Source organism: Homo sapiens, chromosome 1 (genome assembly GCF_000001405.40).
Source record: "Homo sapiens chromosome 1, GRCh38.p14 Primary Assembly".
NCBI classification, from domain to species: Eukaryota; Metazoa; Chordata; class Mammalia; order Primates; family Hominidae; genus Homo; species Homo sapiens.
The window spans coordinates 202,637,498-202,665,422 of NC_000001.11; the positions used below are offsets into that span (position 1 = coordinate 202,637,498).

A 27,925-nucleotide genomic window follows, 5' to 3' on the forward strand; every position below is an offset into this window, starting at 1 on the left:
GGGTGGGGATGGGGGACAGGCTGCAATCTGTCTCTGAGCAGCCGGCTGCCCTCAAGTCCCAGCCCAGCCGAGCAGTGGGGAGCAGGTTGAAGGCAGGCTTGGAGCTGGCAGGCTCCGTCTGCCCCACTGTGAGCAGCAGCTTTGAGAGACTCTCCTGCCGGCTGCTCATAGGTGCTGCAGTATCTCTCCTGGCTGCAGGGCTGGCTGGGCTGAGGCCAGGCCAAGGGCCTTCCTTCCCCCTTTCACCCTCTGCCCCTCCCTCAGTGCCCGGGGCCAAACTAAGGCCTTTGGAAGCTACTCTGGCTTTCTGGTCTCCAAGGACTGCCGGCCCTGATGATCAATTTGGTGGCTGCGGGACCAGGTTTAGTCTTGGGTGGCAGCGCTGACCTCCAGGAATGTCACTGTGGCCCCTTCAGGGGCAGGTAACAAACCTAGCTCATTCCCAAGAGAATAAGGGAGTCCGGTGGATCAACTCCCAAGGTTTTCCACCTAGCAGATTTGCCAACAGCGGGCAATTCCCCGGTAGGAAGTCCTTCCTTGTACCTCACATGAGCCCTTCCTGCTGCAGTACAGCCACATTACCTTCTACTAGAAACCCTTCTGCTTCCAAATGCACCCTTTGTTAAATTGCTAAGATGCGATTCCATGAGTAACACAGCAATCACAAAAGCCACTGAAGCAGACGGCAGCTGCTACAGGGTTCAAGAATTCCATTCCAGCTGGGGAAAGGCTGTGGGCTTTGCCCCTCCTCCCCCCCAGCCCCTCCCCAGTCTCAGGACACAGAGAAAAAAGGAGCAGCATGTGGTGAAGAAAAATGGAAAGATAACAAAACAAAGGAAGAAAAAAAAATATTCACAGCCTCTCTTGACCTGCCAAGGACTTTTTCCACATCTTTCCCTAGGCTTGGGGGCCCAGATAAGGAACTGAGCCTTTCTTGCAGCTTCTGCAGGCTCTGCCTGAGAGACCCGCTCAATGGGCCATCTGCTCGGAGGCCTTTCTGCAAAAGCTTCAAAAGTTCCATTTCTCCAGGGAGCTGGAAGCTGGGGAGGTGTCAGCTCCAAACAATAAGGGAAATTTATTAGGGATCAGGGCTTCCAGGAGGATGGTGCCTGCAAATGCAGCCGGATGCACTCCAAGATACAAAGGGTTATTTAATGCGGAAAATCCAAAGGCTCCTTCAGAAGTCAAGTGCTCACACCCGAGGCCCTACACGCTGCAACCTTCCTTTTCAGAAACACTCCCCATCACCCTACCCTGTTCGCCCCTACCCCGCCCCATCCCAAGTCAGACTTATTCCCCGTCCTTTGCCCCTGGGCAAATATTGACTTTCTTTCACTCAGCCTTGTCAATGGAAGTGAGACCAGTGGGGCTGGCTATTGTCTCCCTCCTCTCTCCTCTCAGAGGGCAAAGCAAGCTGCCAGCCTCAACAGCTCTGAGCAGGGGCCAACTGTGACAAGCTGAGAAAGAAAAGCGTGGTCTTGGAAGTAATATTTCTGTCTTTTGGTCTGTTGTCTTTCTGTCCTCCCTCCCTTCCCCAAGCCCATCTGGGATTATTTTTTTCACGTTTGGCTATCCTGCTGCCCTGTCTGGCTCAAGAGCAGCAGCGTGGCATAGCTGGCATAACTGAGAGAGCTCAGGCCTGGGAATTCAAGTGTCTGATACCGGGTCACCTTATGCTAGTTCTTTAATTTTCTTGGGCTTCCGTGTTCTATTCTGCAAAATGGGAAGGTTGGACCCCATGATCTCAGTATCTAGATCAGGAAGTTCCTTCCTATCAGGACCCATGTCCTTTCTGCTGCAGTCAAGGCATTTTACCTTGTGCTCTGATTTTAGAAAAGATGGAAAATAACTGCTTGGTGCTTAACAGGGAGGAAGGAAAGAGCGTTGGATTGAGGGTCTACAAGGGCTGGCAAGCTCCGTCGCTGGGCTTGGAGCTCCCCCTAAGCCTCAGTTTCCCCATAATCAAAACAGAGGGCTGGATGAGATGATCCCACAGCCCCTTTCAGTGCCTCGTCCTGCCGTGCCACTCATCTAACACATCTCTGTGGAAGGCGGTGTTCCCCGCTCCTTCAGCTTTTCTCCAAGGCTGCATCTCACAGCCTTTCCTCATGACTAACCTTGAATGGAGGGATGCCATGCTGCTGGCTTGCGTTCCCTCATCATCAGGAGCCTTTTGTCAGCCACACTTCTCTCAGACTCATGCTGCTTGCTTGGCCTTTGGCCTTTGTGGCTGAGCTCTTCCTTTCTCCAGGCCCCATGACGAAGACTAGAGCATGCAAACTCCTGGAGCCTGAGGCCAGTGCGCAGCAAGAGGAGGACACAGGACGTTGGGGCATTTTGGGGGATCGTGTGCATGGTGACAACTGCAGGACTGTGAACTGTATCCCTGCTCCTCCTGTAATTTGAGCCCTCTCTGTGATAACATAGAACCTCAAAAACCCATCCCTTGTGCATTAGTCAATAACACACTACAGACTTCCTATTCCAGGTTGGTAATATTCCCTTTTCACAGATGAGATAATTGAGGCTCAGAGAGGTTGGTAATTTGCCTGAATTCACACAGATATTAAGGAGCAAGCCAAGATGGGAACCTAGATATATCTACCTGCAAAGCCTTTGCTCTTAACCATCAGCGCTCTTACTGAGAAGGGGAGGTCATCGCCTCTCCCCAAGCTGACTTATAGGACTGGAATCACGGGGCAGTGAACACCCAAAGCTTGAACGACTCCAACAAACCTCCCACCCCACCCCACCCCGCCCCACCCAGCCTTGGCAAAGGCAGAGCCAGCAGGGTCACGGACCAACAAAGCCAGAAGGACTTTGGGTCATCTAAACCAAGCTTTCACTTCACGTATGAGAAAACTGAGGTCCACAGTGGTGTGCGACTTGCCTAAGGTCACACAGCAAGTCTAGGGTAAACTTCAGTCCCGGCCATGGGGTCCTGGGAGTCCCCCTCCAGGTTGAGCCAGTCCCTTTGCCACTCCTTCCACCTGGGTGTAGACATGCCTTTAGCCACTCACTCCAGGGACATCTGGCTTTACCGCCTCTCTGCTTCTCAGTTGGTCCATTCCTAGAAGGTTTGGGGAATGGAGTAAAAGGCCCATTTTTTCATAACCACAGAGGTGTGGCAGAGAGTGGGGAAGGGAGAACCAAGGAAAACTGGTGTGAGATTATTGGAAAGTCAGGCAGTCTCTCTGTTTCCCATGAAGTTTCTACTGCAGAATGGTCCTAATGGTCAGAGAGAGAGAGAGAGAGAGAGAGAGAGAGAGAGAGAGAGAGAGAGAGAGAGAGAGAGACAGACAGACAGAGAGACAGAGAGACAGTGAGACAGAGCTGATGTTCCCATTTTGTAGGGAAGCTTTCAAGATGGTAGAGGAAGATCACACTGCAAGTCCACAATCTTTCCCTGCTCCCCATGGCCACTACTCACAGCTGCCCTGCCACCTGCTTGCTACGCAGCTTGTATTATTATTATTAACAATAGCTACCACTCATTGAGGACTTAGACAGCTCAGTACTGGACCAAGTATTTACATATGCTTCTTGTTTAATCCTCATAAAAACCCTAAAATACCACCACTATTCTCATTCTGTTTTGACTACTTAGTAACTGAAGCTCTAAGATATAAAGTAATTTGCTCAAGGTCACACAGCTAATAACCAGTAGAGCCAAGGTCTCCTGGGGACTCCCCCTCCAGGGGTGTGCCTGGCTTTGAAATTCATATACAGTATTTGTCTCAATTTGTCTCGACTCTGGTGACAGAAGTGGGAGGGCAATGCATTGGGAATTCCTGGAGACCACCTGCTCCCATCACCCAGCCAAGCCCACTTCCTGGACTCAGACACCAGCCCAGAACTGCAGCCACAGAACTGTGGGGTTGCAAGGGCCTGAGAAGTTATCTAGTTCTACCTTCTCAATGTACAGGCGAGGAAAGCAAGAAAGGGCCTTGCCCAAGGTCACACAAGGTCACAAAATTGGAGGCAGAGCCTGTAAATTAAACTCAGCTCTCTTGTCTCAAACTGGGACTCGTCCGCAACACCCTAATGCCCAGTAAGAAGTTATTGTCTCATCTCAACCGAAGACAGAACCAGAGTTCATCCAAAAAGGAGTTAGATTAGACTTTCCTATGGCAAGGACTGTCACATTGCACAGTGGGGTGCTCTAGGCTATTGTAGTGGAGATCTTTCTAAAACGAGACAATTCCTTCAGATCTTCCTTATCTGAGATGAATGCAGCCCTGTCTGGAGGTAGAGAGCAGACCGCATGACCTTGTGAGGTCCTTGACATCACCCTTTAACCTATAGTCATCTGTCTGTCACAGCCAACCTTTCTCTAGGAAAGAATCTGCCCTCTGCAAAGAGGATGTGTAATGCTGGAAAGCCGGCCTTTCTCCCCATCAGCTGGATTCTGAAAGTGGGGAGAGATGACCAATGAACAGGCTGAGGGTGTCACAGCCCTGCTACTTTGGGATGGGGGGTGCAGTAGGGGAGCTACAGTCTTCCCAGAGGATAGGTCATTCTACCCAGCTAGGTCATTCTACCCCACCCCCATCCTTTCAGTGGGCAACACCTGCAGGGTGTTGGGACTGGGAGAAACCTCAGATACCTTAAATTCCAAACCCCATTTTCCAGATGAAGATACTGAGGCCCAGAGTGGGTCAGTGAGTTGCCCAAGGTCATAGGACAGGTCAGAATGGAAGCTTTCGGACTCTCCCTGGGGCGCTGCGTTCACAGCTCCACTTTGACACCCCCTGCCCCGGAAGTGAGCACTGAACTCACTTAAGAGAGGCCAGTGACCAAAGGCAGCGATTCCCAGGTGCAGAGGCTCGGGCAGGCGTGCCCATGAGCTTGTCCCCCCGCGCGCCCTCCCCCACCTCGTCCCCATTCCTGTCTTGGGCACCATGCGCTCCATCATCCTGAGATTCAGAGAGGTGCAGTAGCTTGTCCAAGGTCACACAGCAAACTGAGTAGGGCCCTCGTTTCCACTGCCCAGCTGCCCCCTCCCATCGCCCACCCGGGTCTCTGCAAGCTTGCCAGGATCCCCGCGAGCCTGCTTCCTCCAATGCACAGAGCCGTGGCGCGTGTCAAAGTGTGGGAAAGTTCCCGGGAGAGGAAGGGGTGGAAAATGCAGCCGCTCATCTCAACCCTGGACGGCTGCGGCAAGGCGGGGGCGCTCAGAAAGGCAGCCAGTCCTGCAAACCGCCCGTGCCTCCGGCACACCCCCCTCTGCGCCAGGGGCTCCCCAGTGTCGCGCGAGCATGGTCTTCCAGCTCCTCCTCAGCGAGGCAGGCGCTGCAGGGTCCCATGCGCCCCGCACCCACTTCTCTCCGCACGCCCACTTCATGCACCTCCCCGCGCCCTTCCCACGGCTTCTCTGCGGCGAGTCGCCTTCGCTTCACCGCAGGTCCCTGGTCCCAGCGCTAAGGCACCGCGGCTTCTCTCGCCTTCTCTCCGCTTTGGACCCGGGCTCTCCGCGGGGAGAGATAGGTTGGGGGCTAGGGGTTCCCGAAATAATTCAGGACACCTCCCCCGGGTCTAGCCAGGTAATTCCGACGCCCATGGATTTCCGGATTACAGTTCCCACCGCGGGCTCAGTCCTACCTACTCTTAGTTTACCCCGCAGTGAGCACCAAGTCCCAAAAGTCGGAGTGTCACCGTTTGGCGACCCCGCGTCCGCCCACGCCTCAGGCCCTAGAGGTGGCCACTGTCGGTCGAGGCACGGCTTCGCTCGGGACTACTGGCTGCCCTCGTGGGGTGCCCCGCCTGGGGTTCCCTCTTACCCTGGGACGTTCCGGGCGCGTTCAGCCTGAGCTGGTGGAGAGGGCGGGGGCGGGGGCGGGGGCGGGGACAGCTGGGGTCCCGAAGTCCAGGTCCCTCTTCCCACTTCCCCGCCGGCCCTGCCGCTGCGGCCCTCGCTCCCGCGCTCGCTCGCTCTCGAGTCTCTCCCTCTCTCTATTCTCTTCCTCTCTCTCTCTCTGCAGTAGTAACAACCTGATCCCGCTTCCCCCGCCCGCCTATTGATATGCTCCTCACATTCGCCTGCACACAGCGCGTGCGGCCCCTCCGAGGGCGATCCCCGCAAACCACGACGCAGGGCCCCCGCCCCAGGCAATCCCCGCTGCTGGGGAGGCTGCCTCCGCGCGCCCACGCCTCCCTTCTCCAGTCCGGACTGCCAGCGGAGGGGAAAATGGGCGACAGGAGAAGGGGAGGTGTGTGCGGGAGGGACTAGGCTGGGGGAGAGGGGTTTAAACTGGCGCGGTCCTACAGAAGTTTGAGGAGGGCGGGGCCGGCTCCGAGCCCCCGGAGCCCTACGGGACTCCCCCGATTCTGCCGAGGAGTCCCCGCCAGCTCCGTGCACTCCTGCAACACTCCCCACCCCACCCGCCAGCTCCGAGTTTACAGCCTCTCGGTTCGGGGGATTAGCTGGGGGAGGGGACCCCCTGGCTGTAGGGAATGGCCTGCGGGCAGGGGTGGGAGGGAAACGATTTGCTTCGGGAGATAAGGATGAAGGTTTTCCTGAGTCAAGGGAGAGAAGGGAGGGAGAAGAGAGATGGAACAAAAGGCAGATGCTGGAGGGGAAGGGGAGCTGGGGAGTTCGCCCCGAGGGCTCCGGCAGCCCGCGGTCCCCACCCTCAGTCTGTCCTGGAGGGTGAGGTAAAGGCTGGTGCCAGGGCTCTTCACGGGCCACTTGGGGAGGGGAGAAAGGGCGATGGAGGGGTACGGGTGTGGGGGAGAGGAGGAAGAGCGTCTGCTGGCACAGGACCCCTTGCCTGCTCCCAGACAGGAACCCAGCAGAAGGGCTCTGCCACGGACCCGACACCTCCCACCTCCACAACTCTGCTTTCTCCCACTTGGGAAAAGCGAGGCTGACACCCACGGTGAGCACCAGGAGGGGCAGGGAGGACCGAGAGCCTGGGCAGCACTCCTGTGCCTCAGTGTCACCCTTGGGCCTCACCCTCAACCCCCAACCTCACCCGATAAGACCTCGGGGCCACAGCTCGCCAGGTGGAATTTCTGCTGCTGTCCGGCCATTAACCACCCCTGACCTTCCCAGCTCCACCCCATCCTCGCCCTCTCCCCTCAGCCTCTCCTTCACCCTCCATGCAGCTGCTTTCTGTTTGCCTTCCACTCTGCACACTCAGGACCAGGACTCGAGTTTGGGGTTTGACCCAGGAAGTGACATTCCTCATCCCCCAACCCACACACACAAAAATCCAGTGTGCATGTGTGTTGGGGGGGGCAGTCACTCAGGGCTTTCCAGGGCTTCTCATCCCCACAGAGTCTGGGGAACCGGGAAATTCCCAATACCCGCAGTGAATCCCCCTTCTTCCCCTCCTCCAGGCATCCCCTGCCCCAGGACATAGACCTCACTCCCGAAGAAGCCGGGGACTGAAGTGCTGCAGCACCCGCTGCTCCTGGCCGGGCTGGAGCCTCTCTTCAGAAGGGCAGCAGCTCGCTTGTCACAGACCCTGGACTGCAGAAAAGCTGATTCAGGGATTTCCGGGCGGCTCCTCCTGTGGGGGAGTGTGCATCTGCATACCTGGGTGTTGGGAAGGGTGTGTGCGTGTGTTCATGTGTGGGCTGGGGGAGAGGACACATGCCTGAGCCCCTCTAGTCAGGTCTGCTGACCCCTCACTGTTCTTCAGATGGAAAGGGGGACCTGGGGTAAAGGGCTCAAGGTCAGATGCTCAGCAGGAGGGCACCAGGGGTTTCCCCCCACTCTGCTACACTCCCGTAACCTACCCCCACCTCGTCATCCCACACTGAGGAGGGGACCTGTCACCTGAGATGGGTGTGCGGGCTGAAGAGCAGTACCTGCTGCTCCTCTTCGGTTTCTCCCTGGGGAGAAAAGTGCTTCTGTTTTGAAATCTCCCCCAAACCTTCTTTTGCTAGGACGAGGGAGGATGGGACTCAAATTTCATTCAGCAGGCTGGATTCAGGTTCGACTTTGGGGTTTCCTGATGCTAAGGGTCTGGGGCAGCATCCTGCTTGACAGGGAAAGCTTATGCCTTCACGATTGGAATGTAGTGCTGCTTAGATGAAAAGGGATGGATGAAATGACCCCCATGGTTCCTTCTGATAAAATGGACCAAGAGACGCCTGAGCCTTATGCAAAGCTGCCTCCAGTAAAATAAAGTCTAATTACAGAAAATAAAGCACTTCTGTAAGGTTATGTCTGCTCCTTCTGAAAATACTGTGTTTAATGTCTATACTGCCTCCAATGTGCCCTTTCCCCTCTTGGGCGGAAGTGGAATTCTGATGGCATGTGGAAGGAGCAGGTGACATTTGCACAGGCAGCGGCTGGGCCAAAATGGGGGAGGATGGGAACACAGTGGGTCCCTGGAGAAAACACAGCTGTGCTTCACTCAGAGCCCCCTCAGGCCCCAGAGAACCCTTCCCCTGATAGGGATGACAATGACAGCCTGATAATCTTAATTTCACTTGATTCTTATCAACTTTCCCAGGAGGCAGCAGGGCGAGGAAGGGATAATTCTTCACTCCACTGAGGCACAGGGAGCCCCCAAAGGGTGGATGACTCACCCAAGGTCCTGAGGTAGGTTAGGGCATGGAGCTGGGTCTTGTGAGTCTACATGGGCTGGGTGCATATCTGGAGCTCCGCCCTCCTCCCCAGGTGCTCCTTAGGTCCTGACTGTCCATCCTACCCTGTCCTCTCCTTTCAGGCTTCATGCACCAGCATCTCTAGATGCAGCCCTTACCCACCTTCCAGCTTCACCTGGCACTGCCCACTCCCTCACTGTCTCCTTGCAGGGCCCAAAGGGCCATGCTCCTTCCTGCTGCAGAGCATTTGTACATGTTGTCCTCCACACCCCACTGCACCAGGCCAACCCCCTCCATCCTGCCAGTCCCAGTTCCCTGACCCCTCTCCCTGTGTGCCCTGTGCTTCTCCTCTGCAGCCCTCATCACGCTTATCCTTCCTTGTTCTAGTCTCCCCACAACACTAGACTGTAAGCTCCAGGAGGGCAAGGACCCCTGCTCACCGAGCCTACTGGCCCGGAGTAGGCACTCAGTAAACACCTCAAATCCTGCATCCTCAAATCCTCATGCTGCCTCTGTATGCTGTATGACTACAGGCAAATTGCATAACTTCTCTACGCCTCAACTTTCTCACCTGCGACATGGGGATTTTGATTATAAAACAGACTTTTTGTAAAGATTAACGGGATAATGTATATAGAGAGACTAGCGCAGTGCCATTCTTGGCATAGCAGTGTTGGCCTTGCTGGGGAAGACAGAGGGCTGAAGGAATAAGGGAAGGAGCATCTTACTCCACCCTCAGCCTTCTCCCCCAGGGTTCTAACTATCCCTCCCCTTCCTGACCCCCAACTCTCTCTCCTCCGCAGCCCCACCTCACTTAGTGGCTCCTGAAATCCTAACTTCTCCCTCTAGGCTTCCTGGACAAGGTGGACAGCAGCTGAAGCCAGCTCATCCCCACTGAGGCTTTGCCTCTCCAGGTCTGCCGTCCAAGCACAGGATTCTCTGCACTGTCCCTGCGTTGGCCTCGAGCGTCAGCACAAACCCCAGGCCTGGAGCTGTGGTACAGGCATTGGCAGAGCCATGGTGGCCAGGGTAGGGTTGGGGAGACCTTACCCTCCTTCATGATCTCTATCAGCATCCTCCCCAAAGTCACCTCCAAATAAGTCCACAGACTAAAATAAAGGCCCCTTACCTCCCTTCCAATGAGATGGCAACTCCTAAGTCCCTCCTCTACAGAAACGCTGGAGCTGTCCTGGAACTCTGGGCTCTAAGCTAGCCCTGCAGGATCAGGCTCCTGTTGCCCATATGTTTCCAGGGCCCGTAGAGGGAAGGGTCATGTTAGGAAGAGGTGCCTCAAAGAGTACTTTTGCAGTCTCCTGGGCCAGCTTTCTGTGGCTGTTCAGGTGTCCTCCTTTCTCTCTGAGCGATCTAGGCCTTAGTGAAGGCTGCTGCTTGGGAGGCTTCCCCCCCCAACCGTACTCCATGAGCACCCCCAACAGCTGAACCCTGCAACAGTAGCTGAGGCTACCTGCCTGGGCAGTGTGGAGGCAGCCTTGCTGGAAACCTCACCCCTGCCCCCAGGCCCTAGCTGAATGAGGAGTGAGGGAGAAAGAGGGGAAGGGAGAGAAGAGGATGCTTGAGAAGCTGATGTAGTTCTTCACCTTGACCGAGTTCCCTCCCCACTTCAGACCTGTCCAAACAAAATAATGGCTCTCAGTTATTCCCTTCCAGAAACGAAGCAACTAGATTTCTGCAAAGAGCCTCTAAATCCTGCAGTCACTACCACGACCATCACTAGTGCTAAGAGAGACCCTCTCCCTGCTCCTCCTTCCCCCTCCTCCCTCCCCCTCCAAATCACTGAGCCATGGGAGCAGCAGCTCTTAGTGCTTGTATAGAGCCATAAGACATAGAATCATTGGATCTCACAGTAATTCTGAGCATTAGCATGGATACCACGATGGTTCAAATACAGGCTCCGAAGCCAGTGGTGGGAGTAGAATCCTGGTTCTGCCACTTAGCAGCTGTGTGACCTTGGTCAAGGCACTTCACACCCTATGTCTCATCCATAAAATGGAACAGAAACAGTATTTACCTCATGCAATCATTGTGAATATTGCATGAGTTAATACATGTAAAAAACTTAGAACGTCATCTGGACATAATAAGGGCACAGTAAATGTTAGCTGTTTTGTTTGTCTGCTTATTTGTTTTGAGGCAGAGTCTCGCTCTGTTGCTAGAGTGCAGAGGTGTGATCTCGGCTCACCGCAACCTCCGCCTCCCAGGTTCAAGAGATTCTCATGCCTCAGCCTCCCAAGTAGTTGGGACTACAGGCATGCACCACCATGCCTGGCTAATTTTTGTATTTTTTACTAGAGATGGGATTTCACCATGTTGGCCAGGCTGGTCTCGAACTCCTGACCTCAAGCGATCTGCCCACCTTGGCCTTTCAAAGTGCTGGGATTACAGGTGTGAGCCTGTAATTTACATTTTCTCTGCTTTGCAGGTGAGGAAACTAATAAAAAATACATACTGGTTATTTAGTGCCTGCTATGGACCAGACAGTTTATATATGTTGCGTGGGGCAAGGCATCCAGGATGGGTTGCAGCTGAGACTGAGATGCATACCTCAAACCCAAGGCGTCTGCTGGCATCCATCTTCTGGAGTATGGATTTGCATCCACTGGGCTACCTGGGGGCTAAAGAGGAGTTCCCTGGGGGATAAACTTGAACTGTGTTCACAGTCAGGCTCCAGACATATAGAGAGGTTTTTGGCAGTTGTTGAGTAGGGGTTATTGCCAAAAAGAAAGAATTAAGCTGACAAAACAAGCAAGTCTGCACAACAGGGCTTGAGGTCAGACAGAGAGACCCTCCAGCTTGGGCAGAGTGGCTGGCTCTTGACCTTGTCTGACCCAGTGATCCTGGGAAGAGGAGTGGCTGTGTGTAGAATGAAAGAGCTGTCTCAAGAGCAAGCTCACTAAATCTAACACTTCAAGGCCCAAGCAACCTGCTGTGAGACTCTGCCCCTCCAATGATCACATCACCTAGGGAGGGACTGTTCTCACTCTCTCTTTGAAAGAAGCTGCTGAGCAGCTAAGGCTGCAGAAGATTGAAAGCCTTGACAGACAGGCACATCAGCAGGAGGAGCAGGGCCCAGGCATCAGAGGCCATGCAGCAGCTTTGGACAGTGGCGGTGCTGGAGGAACTGGAGACACTGAAACCAGCATCAAGTGGCAGCCCAGACAGTATGAGCATGTGTACATGAGCTTTAGGGGTCTCCCAGATCATATGCTGGGATGAAGCAGATCTGGGGGAGGCAAGATTTCCTGCAAGAGCAAGTAGGTGCCTGGAGTTAATGAGATTCAAGTATTGAGATGATGATATTGATGAGGCTGACAGCAATGGTGATAGGAAGCACGAATTCATGCTTACTATGTGCCAGGTACTATTTTAAGGGTTTCACATGAATTTATTTACTTCATACTTACAAAAACACTAGGAGAGAGGATTATTCTTATTTCTATTTTCAAGATGGGAAAACTGAGGTAAAGAGAGGTAAAATAACTTGTCCAAGGTCACACAGTTAGAAAAGGGAAGATGCAGGATCTGAACCTCATCATCGCCTCCTGAGGCCGCACTCCAAACCCCTGTGCCATATGCCTTGCCAATTGATACAGGTGCCTCCTTCCTCAGTCATAAACTGAACAGCATTGTAGACACTTGGATCCTACCTCATCCCTGTAACTACTTTATGAAACTGGTGTTTGTCCCCATTTCACAGCTGGGAAAACTGAGGCCCCCAAAATGCAAATGACTTGCCCAAGTCTGCATAGCTGGGAAGTGCCAGAGCCAGTATTCAAGCACTGGTCTGTGGAGGCGCTAAAACCCATCCACCTTCTGGGGAGTGATGTGACTTGCCCAAGACCGCACAGCCAACTTCAGTCTCCCAGGCTGCTGTCAATCCAGCTCCAGTCTTCCCTGCACAAAAGTACAGATCTTCTCCATCCCCTCCGTAAGGGCTTTTCCCGGACATGGGGAGCGATTCCAAGTTCTCTCTAGACTCGAGCCAGACATGTAGGCCATCTAAGAACAGATGTTTGGCAGAGGGCCCCGGAAGAGGAAAAGGGAATTGGGGCTGGGCTCAGAGGATCTTCCCAGAGAATCCAAGAAGCCCAAATAATCAACTCCCCTGTCTGCGGGTATGTAAACTGCAGCCTGAGGAACTCTACCTGAGTGAGCCCCGTGTTCCAGGTACTCCTGTCCACCTGTGAGCCGGGGTGTCCAGCCTGCCTGAGAGGACCCCAGAAAGGGTCATGTGCTTGCACGCAGTGACACTTCCATTGCCACCTACTGGTTGGGCACATATATAAGGGGCATAGCCTACGTGTACGTCTCTTCCAGAGTAGCTGGGTCTTTGGGGTCTGCCAAACATTTGTTTCATATGCTTTTGTTTTTTTTTTTTTGAGACATAGTTTCGCTCTGTCACCCAGGCTGGAGTGCAATGGCACAATCTCAGCTCACTGCAACCCCTGCCTCCCGGGTTCAAGCTATTCTCCTGCCTCAGCCTCCTGAGTAGCTGGGATTTCAGGCACACACCACCACACCTGGCTATGATATGTTTTTATTGAATACATACTATGTGCCCTGCACTCTGCCTGGCCCTGGGATAGAGTGCTCTGGGACACAATCCCTGCCCACAAGAGTTTGGAAGTTTGCTGGGGGAGACAGGCACATAGGCAGATAACAGTGCAGCACGGGGAAAACAGCAGTGTGCACAAAAGACCGTGGAGCCGGAGCCCTTGGAGCCTCCATGGGGGTTAAGATGAAGGAACAGCCAGAGAAGATGGCTTCTGAGTGGCTCTTGAAGTACACTTCTGATCTGATCCCAAGGAAAGGCGGGTGTTTCAGGCAAAGGGAATAGCGAGTGCTCCAGCGTGGAAGAAGGAGGACGCTGGGCATGCCGCCTGGAGGCACTGGGCAGAGTGGGAAGAAGGGGCCGGGAGTGGGGTGGGAGGGGCATTGGAGCCTGGATGCGAAGGGCCTTGCAAGCCAGGCTAAGGGTGTGGGGCTTCTGCCCACACAGGCAACGGGCACAGCGGAAGGCTTGAAGCAGGGAGCTGGCAGGAGGCAATGAGAAGAGGGAGTGTTGCGGCAGGTCAAGGGAAAGCCAATACCAGTCTACACCATGGAGGAGCCATGGGAGTGGGAAGGAAGGGATGGATTTGCTCATCTACATGCAAGACTGCACACTGGGTAGCTAATTGGGGGTCGGGGTGAGGAAAAGAGAGGAGTCCAGGATGACTTCTGGATCTCTGGCATGTGAAACGGGAAGGATAGGGATGTCAGTCACCAAGAGAGGACGCACAGGGGTGGGTGGGAGTGGGGAGTTCAGCCTGGGACACGATCAGTTTGGGAGCCTGTGCCATATCCAGGAGGAAATGTCCAGGAGGCCCCTAGAAATGTGGGCCTGGGGTTCAGAAAGGAGGTTGGGCAGAAGACATGGAATTCATTGACTCATAAATCATACAGGAAAACTTGCTCTGAAGATGTTAAGAACCTCACACATGGCAGTGACTAGATTTGATTCCAGACTATTGGACTCAAATGCTGGTTCATTCTTTCCACCTCGGCACATTCCTATCTATCAATAGTTATTACCTCACAGCTAAGAAGCTACAAAAGGCTCCTAAACAATCTTTCTTTTTCCTAAAGCCTTCAGGTATAAGTTTCCATGCAGATATTATTCTACCCAGTTTACAGAAGAATATGTTTAAATAAGTCACACAGAGGGCAGGCGTGGTGGCTCACGCCTGTAATCCCAGCACCTTGGGAGGCTGAGGCAGGCAGATCACGAGGTCAAGAGATCGAGACCATCCTGCAAACATGGTGAAGCCCCGTCTCTACTAAAAATACAAAAATTAGCTGGGCATGGTGGTGTGCACCTGTAGTCCCAGCTACTCAGGAGGCTGAGGCAGGAGAATCGCTTGAACCCGGGAGGCGGAGGTTGCAGTGAGCCGAGATCCCGCCCCTGTACTCCAGCCTGGTGACAGAGTGAGACTCCGTCTAAGTAAGTCACACAGCAAGTCTGAAATGGTGCCTATCGCAGCCAATCATTCAACTATCTCTGGGAGAGTTGTTCCCTCTGCAGAGAGTTGGTGGTGGCTGATGCCAGTGGAAGGGGCCCGAGGAGCCGTGTGTGCATCTGTTGAGGGAACAGCCATCGTCCCTTTGCCTTGGGTGAGTGGCATCTGAGGATGGCTCCCTGGGGAGAAATAAACATATGTCAAGGGTTGTGGTGATGGCAGAAGAGGAACTCCTTGGGGTCATGCATGGATCTGGGTTGGGGGTGACAAGGAGGGGTCAGTGGGTTCAGCCTCTGTCTTCACTGTTCTTCATCTCTCAGCTCCTCCTTTGAATTTGGGCACCTGCCTTTCTGCAGGAGGCCTGTCTCAGATCAACTTTAGTGCACCAATGTGTCTTCCCTACCTCCTGCATCCTTGACAGCAATGGAGTTAGTGCATGGTGACAGGAGCCAGTCCCCTGTGATGCAATGGCTGGAACCTGGGGACCAAAGCAGGAGGCAGCTTGCTGCTGGGCCCTCGCAACTTCTCTGCCCAGCAGGGTCACTTGAGGAGCTTAAAGGAAAGGTGCCCAGCCCCATCTCCCAGAGACTCCCTCAGCTATCCTGGGAGGGGGCCGGGCATCAGTCATTCTCCATGTAGCCAAGGGTGAGAGGACTGCTTCGGTGGAAAGACCCTGGCTTCAAAATCAGACCCAGAAACGTGGCTCTGCCTTGTGCTAACTGTGTGACTTGGATTAATTACTTAAACTCTCTGAGCTCCAGATGAGCTCCAGTTTCCTTTTCTCAAGGAACATTCATCACCAATTCACCTAAGATAACCCATTTAAAGCACAGTGCCTAGAGCCTGAGTTGGCCTTTGATGCATATCATTTTCCTTCCCACCACCCACCCCCCCTTAGAGTTTGGATTTCCTCCTAACCTAGCCTTGCCTGCAAGTCCCCCAGCTCTGCATCCCATGGAAAGAATGCCCCTCCCTGATGGTGTAAGTTTTTCCTTGTCCTTTTGCATGAGCGGCTTGACATCTCAATGCCACTATTTTCATAGAAAATCTCGATTGTCACTCTCTTCCTGCTGCACCCAGACAAAAGGCCCTTCTCCAAACGGCCCCACCTGATCACTCCAACTCTCATGCCTCTGTCCCCAACACGGACCCCCCCTGAACCGTCCAGCCCATCTGCATCCTCATATCCCTGCATAGATTCATACTTAGATATATAGATTCACACGCTTACCTAGAGCACCTTTAGTTCTCCATCTCCTCACTCATCACCTCAGTTCTGACTGACTTGTCCTCACAGACACACAGCTCAGCATGTCACTACGCACTGGCTGGTACTGTTCTCCAGTCACTTTGCTTGTACTACCACAGGGGACTGGTCCCATACCTTGGCCGTTACCCCCACCCCCACCCAAAGCATCTAGCACAGTCTGGGCACATAGTAGATGCTTGCCTTAACTGCTGACCTCGTATGGGGGTCAGAAATAGACCAGAACCTGTATGCCCAAAGACCATCCCCAGAGATTGGGAATAGGGAATGGCGGTATCTCCAAGCCCACTCCCCACAAACACTGGCCTCATTTTCCAGACAGGGAAACAGAGACTGGGCGCTGGAGTCCCACGATGGAGGCAAGGTACCGCTGCATGCTTCTCTAGGGGAGCTATGCTGTGTGACTACATCGCCACAACCCGCTGGACCTCTGTGGGTCACCACAGTGATTTCTGCACCTCTTCTTTTCTTTCCTTGAAGAGGAGGTCCTGGTCAAGGAGGCTGGGAGCCTGGGTTCTGGGTCTGTCCCTAGAACTAACTTGCTGTGTGACCTTGACTAAGTTATCCTCTCTCTGGAGTGACATCCCTGGGGCCTGGAAAACTTATGTCTTGATCAGAAGGGTCAATGAGAGATGCAAAGTCTGAAGGTGGCCAGTGGGGCTTCAAGGGCCCTGGCAGCCTGCTTTCAGCCAGCCCTCCTCCCCAGGTCCCTCTACCCCTCCCACTCTAGGCCCCAAAAAGAGGAAATCAATTGAGTGTTCAGGTCTCTGCCCTTGCCCAGCCACAGCTGAGCTTACTGGGGAAATTAGGGTGACATTGGTGCAAATAATTAAGTGTCTTTCCCCAAACGGTCTTCAGGCCCCATTGCTTTAGCTGCTGCTTAAATGGATGAGCTAATTAACTTAACTAATTGCTCCTGAGGACTAATATTTTCACAGTCACGTGACCCAAGAAGGCACATTCTCCACTGCAACTCTGCTGCCCACGCTCCCTGGCAGACCCACTTTCTGAGCCTGTGATAGCTGCTTCCACTTGCAGCACCTACACTTAGGCCAGCCCTGTTTCTTCGAAGGCACCAGAACGCCTTCCTCCAGCCTCTCCGCCCAAGTGCAAAACCTGACTCCAGACTCACTCCTGCCAATTCATTCATCCATTCAACAATCTTTTGTTAATTGCCTACTTCATGTGTCAAATGCTATTCTCAGCATTGGGGAGTTAATGATGAGCAAAAGCAGACAAGGTTGTGCCCTCATGGGGAGTTCATCCTACTTGGAGAGGTGACACTGATCATTGACCCCTGCCCCCGCCCAACACACACACACATCAGATCTGTGCTACAACCAGCACTATGGAGTGTGGGACGGTGCTCTATAATAGACAGACTCAGATCTCTCAGGGAGCTCAAGGACAGCTTCCTGGAGGAAGTGGCCCTTGAACTGAGGCTTGAAGGCTGGGCCAAAATTAACTAGGCAGCGAGGTGGGAAGTGTATTCCAGGCAGAATGACCAGCTTCTGCATAATCCAGGTGAGAGATGCTAATGGCTGGCCCAGGCTGCTAGAGCTGAAGAGAGGTAGAATGTTCAAGAAAGAAGAGAAAAAAGTGACTGACTTTGGTATTGGGTTGGGGGAGAGGATAAAGGGGCACTAAAAGCAACTCCTAAGCTCCTGGCTTGTACTATGGGCCAAATGGGGGTGTCACTCACTGGGATATAATTTCCTAGAGTCAGACCAGGTGTGAACAAGAGGGTAAGAGCATGAGGTGGGTGTTGAGATGCCTTAGAGGTGTCAAAGTGGAGTCGCTGAACATGCAGATAGGTGAGCAAGTGGGCTTAGAGGAGGGGTCTGGGCTGAAGATTCACATTTGTGAGTTATCTGCTTGGAGAAGGAGGTTGAAGCTGAAGGGTATGGCCATTTCGGACAGCAGGAGATGCGAGCCCAGGACAGGCCTTGAGGAAGCCCAGAATTATTCACTACAGGCTCATCCCTAGCAGACTTGAAACATACCTCATTTTTACAATGTCATTGTGTTCTGGGTTGTTGTTGTTTTTTTAAATCTCAGAGTCCTTTAAGTTCTTCCGTTTTCTTTATCTACTGTTGAGCCAACAGCTGATCAAGTGTCTGAGAGTCTTCAGGGACAAGGGGACACTACCATTAATTCAGGCACAAGGGAACACCACCGTTTACGCACTGTGCTGGGTCTTTATGTGCCCAACCTACGTGACCCTTGCAGGAGAGGTGTTCCTATCCTTGTTTTCCAGAACAGGACACTGGGGCTCAGAGAAGTTAAACAATGTCCCTAGGGTCCTGCAGTGAGTGGCAGGGGTTACACGATCCTGCTTGATGTGTTCTCACTTCCAGATGCTGTCTCTCCAAAAGAAATGGGCATGCGCTTGCGAGGCTGAGGGAGGGTCTGAGGGACAACAGGAGTGCCAGTCACCTTTCATCTGTGTCATGGGTAGCAAAGACCAGAAGATGTGGATCTCTGATGTCCTCCCACTGGTCCAGGGCTGCACTGTGATGCTGGCAGGGGGAACACAGGGAAGGGTGATCATGCGCAAGGTGACCATGGAGCGAGTGGGCCTGCTTGGGGCAAAAAGTGCTGGGCCAGATAGGAGAGGGGGGCTTCCCTGTCTGAGCAGCAACAGGTGTGACCCCAGGCCAAGAAATAAGGACCAGAAAGTGTGGCTTATTGTGTGCAGAGAGGAGTGGGTGAACAGCGGGCCGTGCCTGTAAGAAAGGGGGTGAAGAGTGAGCATGCAGCACTGGGGGAAAGCGGGCTTTGGAACGCACACACACACACACACACGTGCACATATGCACACTTGCATGCATGCACACAGGCACAAACGCTCACATGCTCCAATCAGAACAGTCAGTCACGGAGCATCAGCCTGGTCAGGGTAAGCCAGAGGCTGAACTCTGGGGTCCCCTGCTGGTCATTGCTGTTGGACTCCAAGGTAAACAGAAATTTCCCGACTCCAGATCCTCGGCCCCTGAGGGCTTCGGCTCCCCTATCTTCTTGATTTTAGACTCAGAGCAGGAGTGGTGCAAGCCTCTGTCTGGGCATTTAGCCCAGGGCCCTGTGAGCCTGAAACTTGGAGCCAAGGATGGTAGAGTGCAAAGACCAAGGGATCAGGAGCCAGACAGACCTGGGTTCAAGTCCCAACTGCTGCTTCCCAAGCGGACAGCCTTAGGGAAGTGTCTTTAACCTCTCTAAGGCTCATTGTGACATCTATAAAAGCAGGAAATAATGCCTTTTTTGGCAAGGATGGTGCGAAGCTTAGATGAGCTGGACCACATGTTAACTTTGACATACCACACATATGTGGAGGGCCGAACCTCGTGCCACAGCCATGACATAGGTAAGTTTCCTTTGTGTTTTCACTTAGCTATCCCCAGCCCAACCTCCTGCTTCATGCAGGAATTCCCTAACCAGCCTCTGCTAGAACATTCCAGCAACAGGCAACCCACCACATTATGCTCTTCCCACTGTTTGGACATCTTTAAGAGTTACAGTGGACTTCCTATCTTGAACTAAAATCTCTCTCCCTGTGGCTTCCACTGCCAGACAGAGTCCAGCCCTTCAGAATACAGGACCACTCTCCAGCTCTCTGGAAGCAGCCACCATGGCTTCCCTGGGTGCCTTTGTCTAATCCAAACTGATCTTTCCACTCTTGTTCCAGTGTTTTCCATTGCCTCTGCCCTGCTGGCCAAATTCTTCCGGGCACAGCTCATTTTTGTGTATGTCCTTTTTAAAATGGGATGTCCAGAGAAGCACAGCACACCCTACATAAGAGCCAACTGTCCAAATTCCAGGTCAGACTGAGGCTGAGCCAACCTCATCATGGTCATGACACAGAAGCCTTTTCATCAGGTCCAGTCTCTGGCACAGCCAGTCCAAGCACACCCACACAAGAGCCACGTTCACCACGGTCTTTAGAGCAACCCACCAGAAGAGTCTCAAGGGCACCCTTTAGAAGAGATGCCCAAGACCCAAAGTGGGCCTCTTTCTCCACCTACGATTCTCTCTTCTCCCAGTGAGATCTGAAGTCCATTTCCCTGGGAGGTGGGGTCAGGACCCTGGACAGAAGCTGCTCCTGGCTTCTTAGGCATTTGAAGGGAAGGCATGCAGTGACTGGGGGCTACCACAAGGCTCTGGGAGAAGTCAGGGAGGGAGCAGTCAGACAGCTCTGTGAGCGGGAAAATGTTGGTGTGGCGGTCACTGCATTTCCCCTCTCCTCCCTCACACTGGAGAGCTGTGAGATCGCCTTAGGGACCCTGGCTCCTGGGGTGAGAGATGTAAAGGACCCCCCTTTTCTTGGCCTCCCCCTTCCCCTGGTTTCAGTTTCTGGGTCCAGAAACTGAGTGCAGTCAGCATAGACAACAGCCCTGGGATCCCCTCACTGTCCTTGACAAGCACTGGAAGCCAGCAGGTGGGTAGAGGGCTCCTGGAGGGTGAAAGCAGAGGGCTACAGCGGGGTCAGGGCCCTGCGGAGAGCTCAGGGTATGTTTGGTGGGGACGTAATGCTGATCCTGCATCTCCTCTTTGACTGCCTTGAACAGCTAATCAATGAATTCATTACTCAATCAGCAGGAAGTCACCAGCCCCTTCCTGGGGACCCTCTCACTTGGGTTCACTCAGCATGTTTCAAAGCACTTTCTGTGCCACCTCTGGGCCCACGCTGTAGGATCAGCTCTGCCCAGAGCTCATCGAGTGACCTTGGGCAAGTCACCTTTCCTCTCTGGGTCTCAGGTTCCTTATTAATAAACTAAAAGGATTGGACTAGATGATCTCTTAGGGTCCTTTCGGCTCTGATATTCCATGGCTCTGTGAGCTGGGAGACTGCAGGTGGGTGGATGACAAAGCTGACTGGCCCCTTTTTTGGAAAGAAAAAGGAAAAAATGACGAGGGCATCTGCACTGGATGGTGCCAGGAGTGGGACTGTGCAGGTTTCAGCTAAAAGTGCCCTGGATGGTGGCAATAACCAGAGTGTGCGGCAAGGGCAGTAGAGGCAGCAGAGCCACAGACCAGGAAGCCAGCCAGGCCTAGCCACCGTGTCCCCTCCCTGCGTCAGAAATCCCTACCTTTGCCTCTACTGATGCCTCTTGGATCCTGCCCTGGTCCAGTCCAGAGCTGAGTGGCAGGATGGCTGAAGTCCCCACTCCCCGCCTCTGGCCCCCAGGCTATGACAGCAGCTGCCAGAGGGGGTAAGAAGACTGGGGGCCTAGGTGCAAGCTGTGAGTACGTGTGGCGTGTGTGTGCCTCAGACAGCAGCTGAGCAGCCTGCACCAATCTCAGAGGCACTGCAATGCAGTGGTCGGATTTTTTTTATTAGTTTTTTTTTTTTTCCTAAAAGTCCTCATTTCCCAGGGAAATGCGCAGCCAAATGCTTTAAAAAAGGAGTGGCCAGATTGCCTCAAAATGTGTCAACCCCTCCCAATTCAGGGTGCTGGCACCCTCCTCTTGCCCCTGCCAGTGTGTGGCCCCCTGAACCCTGCTCCTGGTGAAGTCAGGAGGTCTAGGTAGAAGGAGTATGAAGTGGCCGATTTTCCCTTCCTAAAAGCTGGGACACAGACTGATTGAACTTAAATGCTTGCCAGATTGGAGAGCTTCTCAATTTCCCAGTCCCTAGGGGATCCGGCATAAGCCTCCTTCACATAGAGGCAGAGGCCTTTAGACTCAAGAAAATCTCTGTCTCTCTTTCTGAATGAGTTTTTTGAGGGATGGAGGGAAAATGACAACACCCCTCCCCCTTTGGAGTATCAAATACCAAATCTGCTGCAGCATTCTCAGAAGGGCATGAAATTGACCACCCTGTCTCCTTCCCTGGTGGAAGGGACCCCTCCCCTTTCCCAATGCACAGCAAACTAATTCTGCACACATGCTACCTCTGTCCGTGTTCTTCTGATCTTGGGTTTCATTTTAAGGGAACTTTTTAGTCCAGCTCTGTTTTCCCCGTTAAAAAGGTGATGAGTTCAATCAGCTGTGAAAATAAATCCAGAAGAAGGGCTGAATGGAACCAGGGGCAGACCTATCCCTGCCAGCTCAGCCCCTCCCTTCCACCAAGCAGAGGGTTTCCCGGGACTCCAACTGCTGTGGAGTGACACTGGGGGCTCTTTGCTGACAGAAAGAGAGCGGCAAAAAGAGATAGCTTAGAAGTGTGGTCAGGCTGGCAGTGTGTGGCCAGTAAGTGGCATTTTAGCCTTGGAAACGACTCTGAAAGCCCCTTGCAGGGGAAGTAGAGCTGCCCCTGCAGTCTCCGTCCTGGCTCTCAGGTGCCCAATTTGGGCACAGCAGGTGGTGAGCATCACAAGGTCCTAAGCTCTCTCCCCATGACCTGGAGGGGCTGCGAGAGCCCCATCTGCCCTTCTCCTCTAATGTTGGGTCTCTCTTGGGCACAGATGGTTCTAGCTTAGGGGCAGCCAGGGCATAGCCGAGCCAATCTGGGTACAGCCCAGGGAGAGGTGCTGCCAGTCAGCCCATCTGTCGAGCAGGTGACAGCTGCTGACATGTAAGTTGGGGGTGAGGGGTGGGGAGCTGGGCTGGTAGGGTCAGAGCTACTACCTGCAGGACCGCTCCTCCCTGCCATTAAACCCCCTGGGTCCCAGGCAGGAGGTACCTCCAGACCTGAGCTTGGCACGGAGGTCCTTCAATGAAAACAAACTGATTCTCTGCCCAAGAATCTCTGTCCCCTCTGCTTCGTGTATTTCCATCAAAACACAGGCTGGAGCAATGCCCATTGCCAGTTGAGGTGACAGCTCTCTCCTCCTGGGGTCAGGACAAGGGGCTGGGTTCTGAGGACAGTAAGGGAGACCTGAGTTAGCCACAAGGGGGAACATCTCACCAGAAAAGCAGAAGGAACTAGCAGAGTAGTACAGTGTGATATATACAAGCTGGACTTCGGTCCTGACTATGCTACCTTTTAGCTGCATGACATGGGGCAAGTTCAATAACTTGTCAGAACCTCAGTTTCCTCATCTGTAAGAGGAAAAGTAATACTTCATAAGGCTGCTGGGAGGATCACATGACAATGCATGTATGCCCTCAGCTAATGGTGGCTACAACTTCTGTTACCGCTACTACCCCAGCAGGTGAGAAAGACAGGAATCTCTTCCACAGCAGCTTTCACCAAATAGCTCCCAGACTTTAACATGCATTGAAAATCTTCTGGAAACTTCCATAAAGTTCAGATTCCCAGGCCCAACTCCAGAGATTTTGATTCAGCAAGCTCAGTTCTGGTGCTCCAGGAGATTTTGACATGGTGATCAGTGGACCATCTTTATTTTTTTATTTTTAAACATTTTTAATTTAAAAAATATTTTTATAGAGATGGGGTCTTGCTATTCTGCCCAGGCTGGTCTTGAACTCCTGGGCTCAAGCAATCCTCCCACTTCAGCCTCCCAAAGTGGTGGGATTACAGGTATAAGCCACCGCGTCATGCCGGTGGATCACATTCTGAGAAGCACTTCCCCAGAGGAAAGGAGAGATGGTTCTGAGCCCATCGCTCCCAGGTAATTAGATGTGGGCGCCTATGCTCGCAGCACATTGCAAGCTTCGTCTCCCCCAGCCTTCCTTCTATCCGGACTTAAGGACTCTCTAGTGCTTTGCTTCTTCTGCCACAGTATCATACTTCTGCATCCCTTTCCTCAAGTCACTTAATCATTCAGCACATGCTTATTGAGCATCTACTCCACTCCAGACATGGCTCCAGGTGCTGGGGACAGAGCACTGAATGAGATAAAAATCCGTGCCCTCATGGACCATATAATTTGTGTATTCATTGATTCAATCAATGCTATGGAGTGCTGACTCCTGCTGGGCACTGTGCTGGATGCTAAGGTTAAGTGCACAGCCCTTCCTGTCAGAAAAGGGCCGTGGAAGAGATAGCCCTTAGGACCACCTGCCCCTGGGAACCCTCAGTTCCAAATCCCAAGCTAGAGGGCAGGGTCCAGCCAGTTATCACTTGCCACCTACTGGGTGGCACCTACTGGGGCCACCTACTGGCTATGCCAAGCAGAAGCAGCCTAGAAGAGATGGATGGCTTCGCCTTCCTCCCCAGCTCACTCATCACCACTGCTGAGTACAAGGTATATCCTTTTTCTCCAGTGCAGCCTTGTCCCTTTGCATGATCCTATGCCTCATAATTACATGTGAGGACGGGCTAATCCCCCAAACACGGTGTCAGGCCATCGATAACATTCCCTCGTGGTTGCCCTATGCCACTCGGCAGCCTTCACACAGCCTGGCAGGGGGAGCTCAGCCCGTGGCCTCAATTTTTCATGCCAGTCCTGCATCCATCACTGGCCTGCCAACTCCGGTCTCTGCTCCAAGGGGGCAGGTGTTCAGAGAGAACACTCTGCAGGCGCTGGCCCTCTCCCTCCACCCCTGCGGGAGTGTTTCTAAAGCGCAAAGGGCTTTCGAAATTCATTGGATCCAATCCCCACATTTTGTTAGTGGGGTAACTGAGGCTCAGAGTGGGACCCTAATTTGCTCAAAGTTGGTCACAAATCTAGTACATTTATTTCATTAATGCACGCATTTACCCATTCATTAGTTCACTTGTCAGACACTTTGAGAGTCCACCAGGTACCAGGGCTGTGCTAGTCACTGGACATACAAGGATGACAAGCTGTGGTCACCCTTGTCCACAAGAGGCCCACCCTCCAATGAGGAGACACACGTGTGATCACAATGCAATGTACAACGTATGATGATCAGTGTGGTGGGAACAGAGAGGAGGGTGCCAACCTGGCCCAGGAGCCACGGGACCCTCTGAGCAGAGTTTTTGGGGGGAGAATAGGAATTACCCAAGCACATGGTATAAGAAGGGCATCCCAGGCAGAGGACACACCATGGGCAAAGACCAGGAAGCGGCAAGAGGCATAGTGTATGCGAGTTGGCGGCAGAATTGGAACCATGCCCAGATCTTCAGATCCCAGTGTTTTTCCCCTATCTCTGCAGCCTCACTACTTCCTAAAGACGCAGAGATTACACTAATTGATCCCCCTGCCTGGGGCAGAGCCCCATACATTCAAGGCAAGAAAGTTAACCCTCTAATTAGTAATGATGCTCAGGGCAGCATCTGGAAGACAGCACATCAATTACTAAAACTCACTGAGGCCAAGGGCTCCTCCATAGTCTACCTGGACTATGACAGCGCAGATACTGGCAGGGCCAAGTGCTACCCTTCCACCGGCTCAGGTACATCATTAACCAAGAGGCAACGGATGGAGCGGGGTGGGTGGAAAGACCCTATGTACTCCATCCTCTCTAGGTGAGTGCACATGTCCCTAACTTCCCTGGACATGTGCCAGGCTCATTAAGAGACGCTGTGTGTTATGGTTGCAGGTACAGGCTTTGGCATTACACAAAGCCTGGTCCCATCGTTAGCTAAGCCTTTACTATCTGAGTAGCCTTGGGCAAGTCAGGTAACCTCTCTGGGCCTCAGGATCATCACCTGTAAAAGAGGGTTACTAATATCCATCTAATAATGTTGTTGAGGATTAAAAATAATGTGTACAGAATAGATTTGCAAAGTCCCAGGCACATAGTAAATTGTCGGTAATAATAATGGAGAAGTGACTGGGGCTTGGAAGGGGAAATGAGCTTGTTCTTTCCCAGAGGAGAGAAGCAGTAGCAGGCTGCAGTACTAACTCCTTGGATATGCTTAGCAATGTGAACTGTCATCAGTCACTTAATCTCTCTCGGCATCATCATGAGTCCTCTTTTCTGGAAGTTTTCCTGGGATTATGAGTATGTGGGGCAAGGGACAGCAATCAAGGTATCAGCCCAACACAGGGGAGGCCCTTTCATGGCTAACAAGAAAGAGAACTCAAGCCAGCCACCCTTTGCCCCAGGGACAGCAAGGCGTTCAATCTTCTCAGAGGGAGAACCAAGGGATGCGGAGGTCATTACCCTCAGCAATAAGAAGGGTTCTGGGATAGCAGGTTTTATCGGCAGCCATTCTAGCATGGACATTCAGTTGCCATGCCGACAGTTCAGCCTGCTCCCGGCCCTGCCCTCTTCTTTCCAGGTTGCTGGGCGTCACCATCTGCACCAAGTACACAATACTTCCCCAAGAAAACTCCAAAAACCTTTGCCTTCAAACCGGCTCCTCTTCCTGAATCCCCTGTGTCTGTCCACAGCACCGTTGTGTTTCTGTTCACTCCACTTCGAAACCTCAGCGGCAACATTTTAAATAGATCTTTTATTATGACTATATCCTCAAACTTACACATAGGTACAAAGGTGAGTATAATATGCCTCATGTGCTCGTCACCCAATTTCAATATATAAGAATATTCTACAATCCCCTTTTACCTCTTCCCCCTCACACTTTTTCTTCTGGAGTATTTTAAAGCAATTCCAGACACTATCTCCTCTGAGGCTGGCTAAGGGACCTCTGCTTGAGCTGCAGGGCTGTGGCAGGCAGGGCAGGAAGACCACGGGGCAGCTCTGGATGCACTCGCTGTGCCTGGGTGCTGAGGGATCTGGCTGCTCTGTCTACTGGGCTCTTAGAGGAACGGATGCTCCTTTCTCTGGGTTTGTACTAACTTTTGGATGGGCTTGGGATCCAAGAAGTTCCTCCCCCAGATGTAAGGTCAGCCAAGTTACAAAACTCCAGGATTCCACAAGCACAGTGCCCTCTGGAATCTGCAATGAGGCAGCATCGGGGATGTCAGCTGCCTTGCTGCGTGCTCTTCTACCCTCAAGTCATTGTCTTCTCTTTGCAACGCAGGTAGGGAAAGGCAGTCTTACCCACTGCCTGAACCCCGGCTTCCCCAAACAGAGGATATGAATGTTGAGAGGGGTAGAGGGAGGACCTTTCCATGTACAGGGAAGAAAGAGATTTCAAGACCCTCTTTCTAATAGTCCATGAGGCTCCTGTGAAGTCCCAGCTCATGCCTCTCATTCTGGTTCATCCTTAGCTAGCAGGAAGGTGACTCACTGCCATCCTTCTTGGGTTTCCTGCATGCACACAACAGCAACAAGGCCCCAGTCTCCATCATTGGCCTCATTTTATGTTTTCCAATCAACTTCATTGAATTATAATACATACATGCAATGAAATATCCTCATTTTAAGTATGCAGTTTGATGAATTTTGTTAAGTGTATATGCACTTTCCCACCACCCCAATCAATATACAGCACGTTTCCATCACCTTCAAGCATTTCCTTGTGCCTCTCTGCACTCAGCCCCTATCATCCCCAGCACCAGGTAAACTGTGATTTGGTTCATTGTCAAGTTTTGCTTGTTTGAAAATCTTACAGGAATGGAATCATTACAGGATGTACTCTTCTGGGATGGCTCCTTTTACTCAGCATAATTATTCTTTGAGACAGAGTCTTACTCTGTTGCCCAGGCTGAAGTGCAATGGCGCGATCTTGGCTCACTGCAACCTCCGCCTCCTGAGTTCAAGCGATTCTCCTGCCTCAGCCTCCCAAGTGGCTGGGATTACAGGTGCCCACCACCATGCCCAGCTAATTTTGTATTTTTAGTAGAGACAGGGTTTCACCATGTGGGCCAGGGTCATCTCGAACTCCTGACCTCAGGTGATCTGCCTGCCTTGGCCTCCCAAAGTGCTGGGATTACAGGCGTGAGCCACTGCACCCGGACTTCTCAGCATAATTATTCTAAGATTCATTCATGTCGTTACAGGTAAGAAGAGTTCATTCTTTTTATTACTGAATATAGTATGCCATTCTATGATGTACCTATTTAAGTTTTTAATTTCAATTTAAAATAATTTATTTATGTATATTCTGCTCTTACTCTTCCTACAGTCTTCTGTTCTAAGAAACTCTGCTGCCTCCTAAGAGGGTAATGAACTGGTCCCTGGGATGAAAGTGATGAGGAGGAAAAGGGCAACAATGACAACAACAGAACAGTTTTTGCTGTCACCTCTTGCGTAAAGCACAGAGTCAAAGGTACTTAGGTATGTCTTGTTTAGGGAGAGGATGAACCCAATAACTTCTATACTCCTTTTTAGTTTTCTGATTCCCTTTCAGTGACATTCATCAAAAAATTATAAGTACTTACTAAGTCCTGGGCTAAGTACATATGACAAGGCGCCTGACCTC

At 52.4% G+C, this 27,925-nt stretch overlaps 1 protein-coding gene across 6 annotated transcripts in view, besides 4 other annotated features; it reads right to left on the reverse strand.

The window, feature by feature from the left end:
* The window catches only part of SYT2 (synaptotagmin 2), a 119,859-nt gene that overhangs the window by 46,902 nt on the left and 45,032 nt on the right, over positions 1-27,925 (reverse strand). For 2 of the 6 annotated variants that reach the window (NM_001136504.1, XM_017000311.3), the window contains exon 1: positions 5,781-5,956. The exons of 2 other annotated variants lie outside the window; for them this stretch is intronic. The gene's annotated coding sequence lies outside the window, so the exon portion shown is untranslated. Of the gene's footprint in view, positions 1-5,780; positions 5,957-7,366; positions 7,741-27,925 lie in introns of those variants that run through there. 2 more of the 6 variants (XM_017000312.2, XM_017000313.2) reach the window with 2 other exon arrangements.
* Positions 118-683: an enhancer, noted in NCBI's record as "H3K4me1 hESC enhancer chr1:202606743-202607308 (GRCh37/hg19 assembly coordinates)". NCBI's record gives its function as "activates a minimal SCP1, AML or CMV promoter by ChIP-STARR-seq in naive and primed H9 embryonic stem cells {active_cell/tissue: H9 hESC(naive and primed)}" and the evidence as "EXISTENCE:reporter gene assay evidence [ECO:0000049][PMID:30033119]".
* Positions 5,283-6,215: an enhancer, noted in NCBI's record as "H3K4me1 hESC enhancer chr1:202611908-202612840 (GRCh37/hg19 assembly coordinates)". NCBI's record gives its function as "activates a minimal SCP1, AML or CMV promoter by ChIP-STARR-seq in naive and primed H9 embryonic stem cells {active_cell/tissue: H9 hESC(naive and primed)}" and the evidence as "EXISTENCE:reporter gene assay evidence [ECO:0000049][PMID:30033119]".
* Positions 19,857-20,016: a silencer, noted in NCBI's record as "fragment chr1:202626482-202626641 (GRCh37/hg19 assembly coordinates)". NCBI's record gives its function as "represses an EF-1alpha promoter that drives an FKBP-Casp9 reporter gene in an ReSE screen in HepG2 liver carcinoma cells {active_cell/tissue: HepG2}" and the evidence as "EXISTENCE:reporter gene assay evidence [ECO:0000049][PMID:32094911]".
* Positions 20,550-21,051: an enhancer, noted in NCBI's record as "H3K4me1 hESC enhancer chr1:202627175-202627676 (GRCh37/hg19 assembly coordinates)". NCBI's record gives its function as "activates a minimal SCP1, AML or CMV promoter by ChIP-STARR-seq in naive and primed H9 embryonic stem cells {active_cell/tissue: H9 hESC(naive and primed)}" and the evidence as "EXISTENCE:reporter gene assay evidence [ECO:0000049][PMID:30033119]".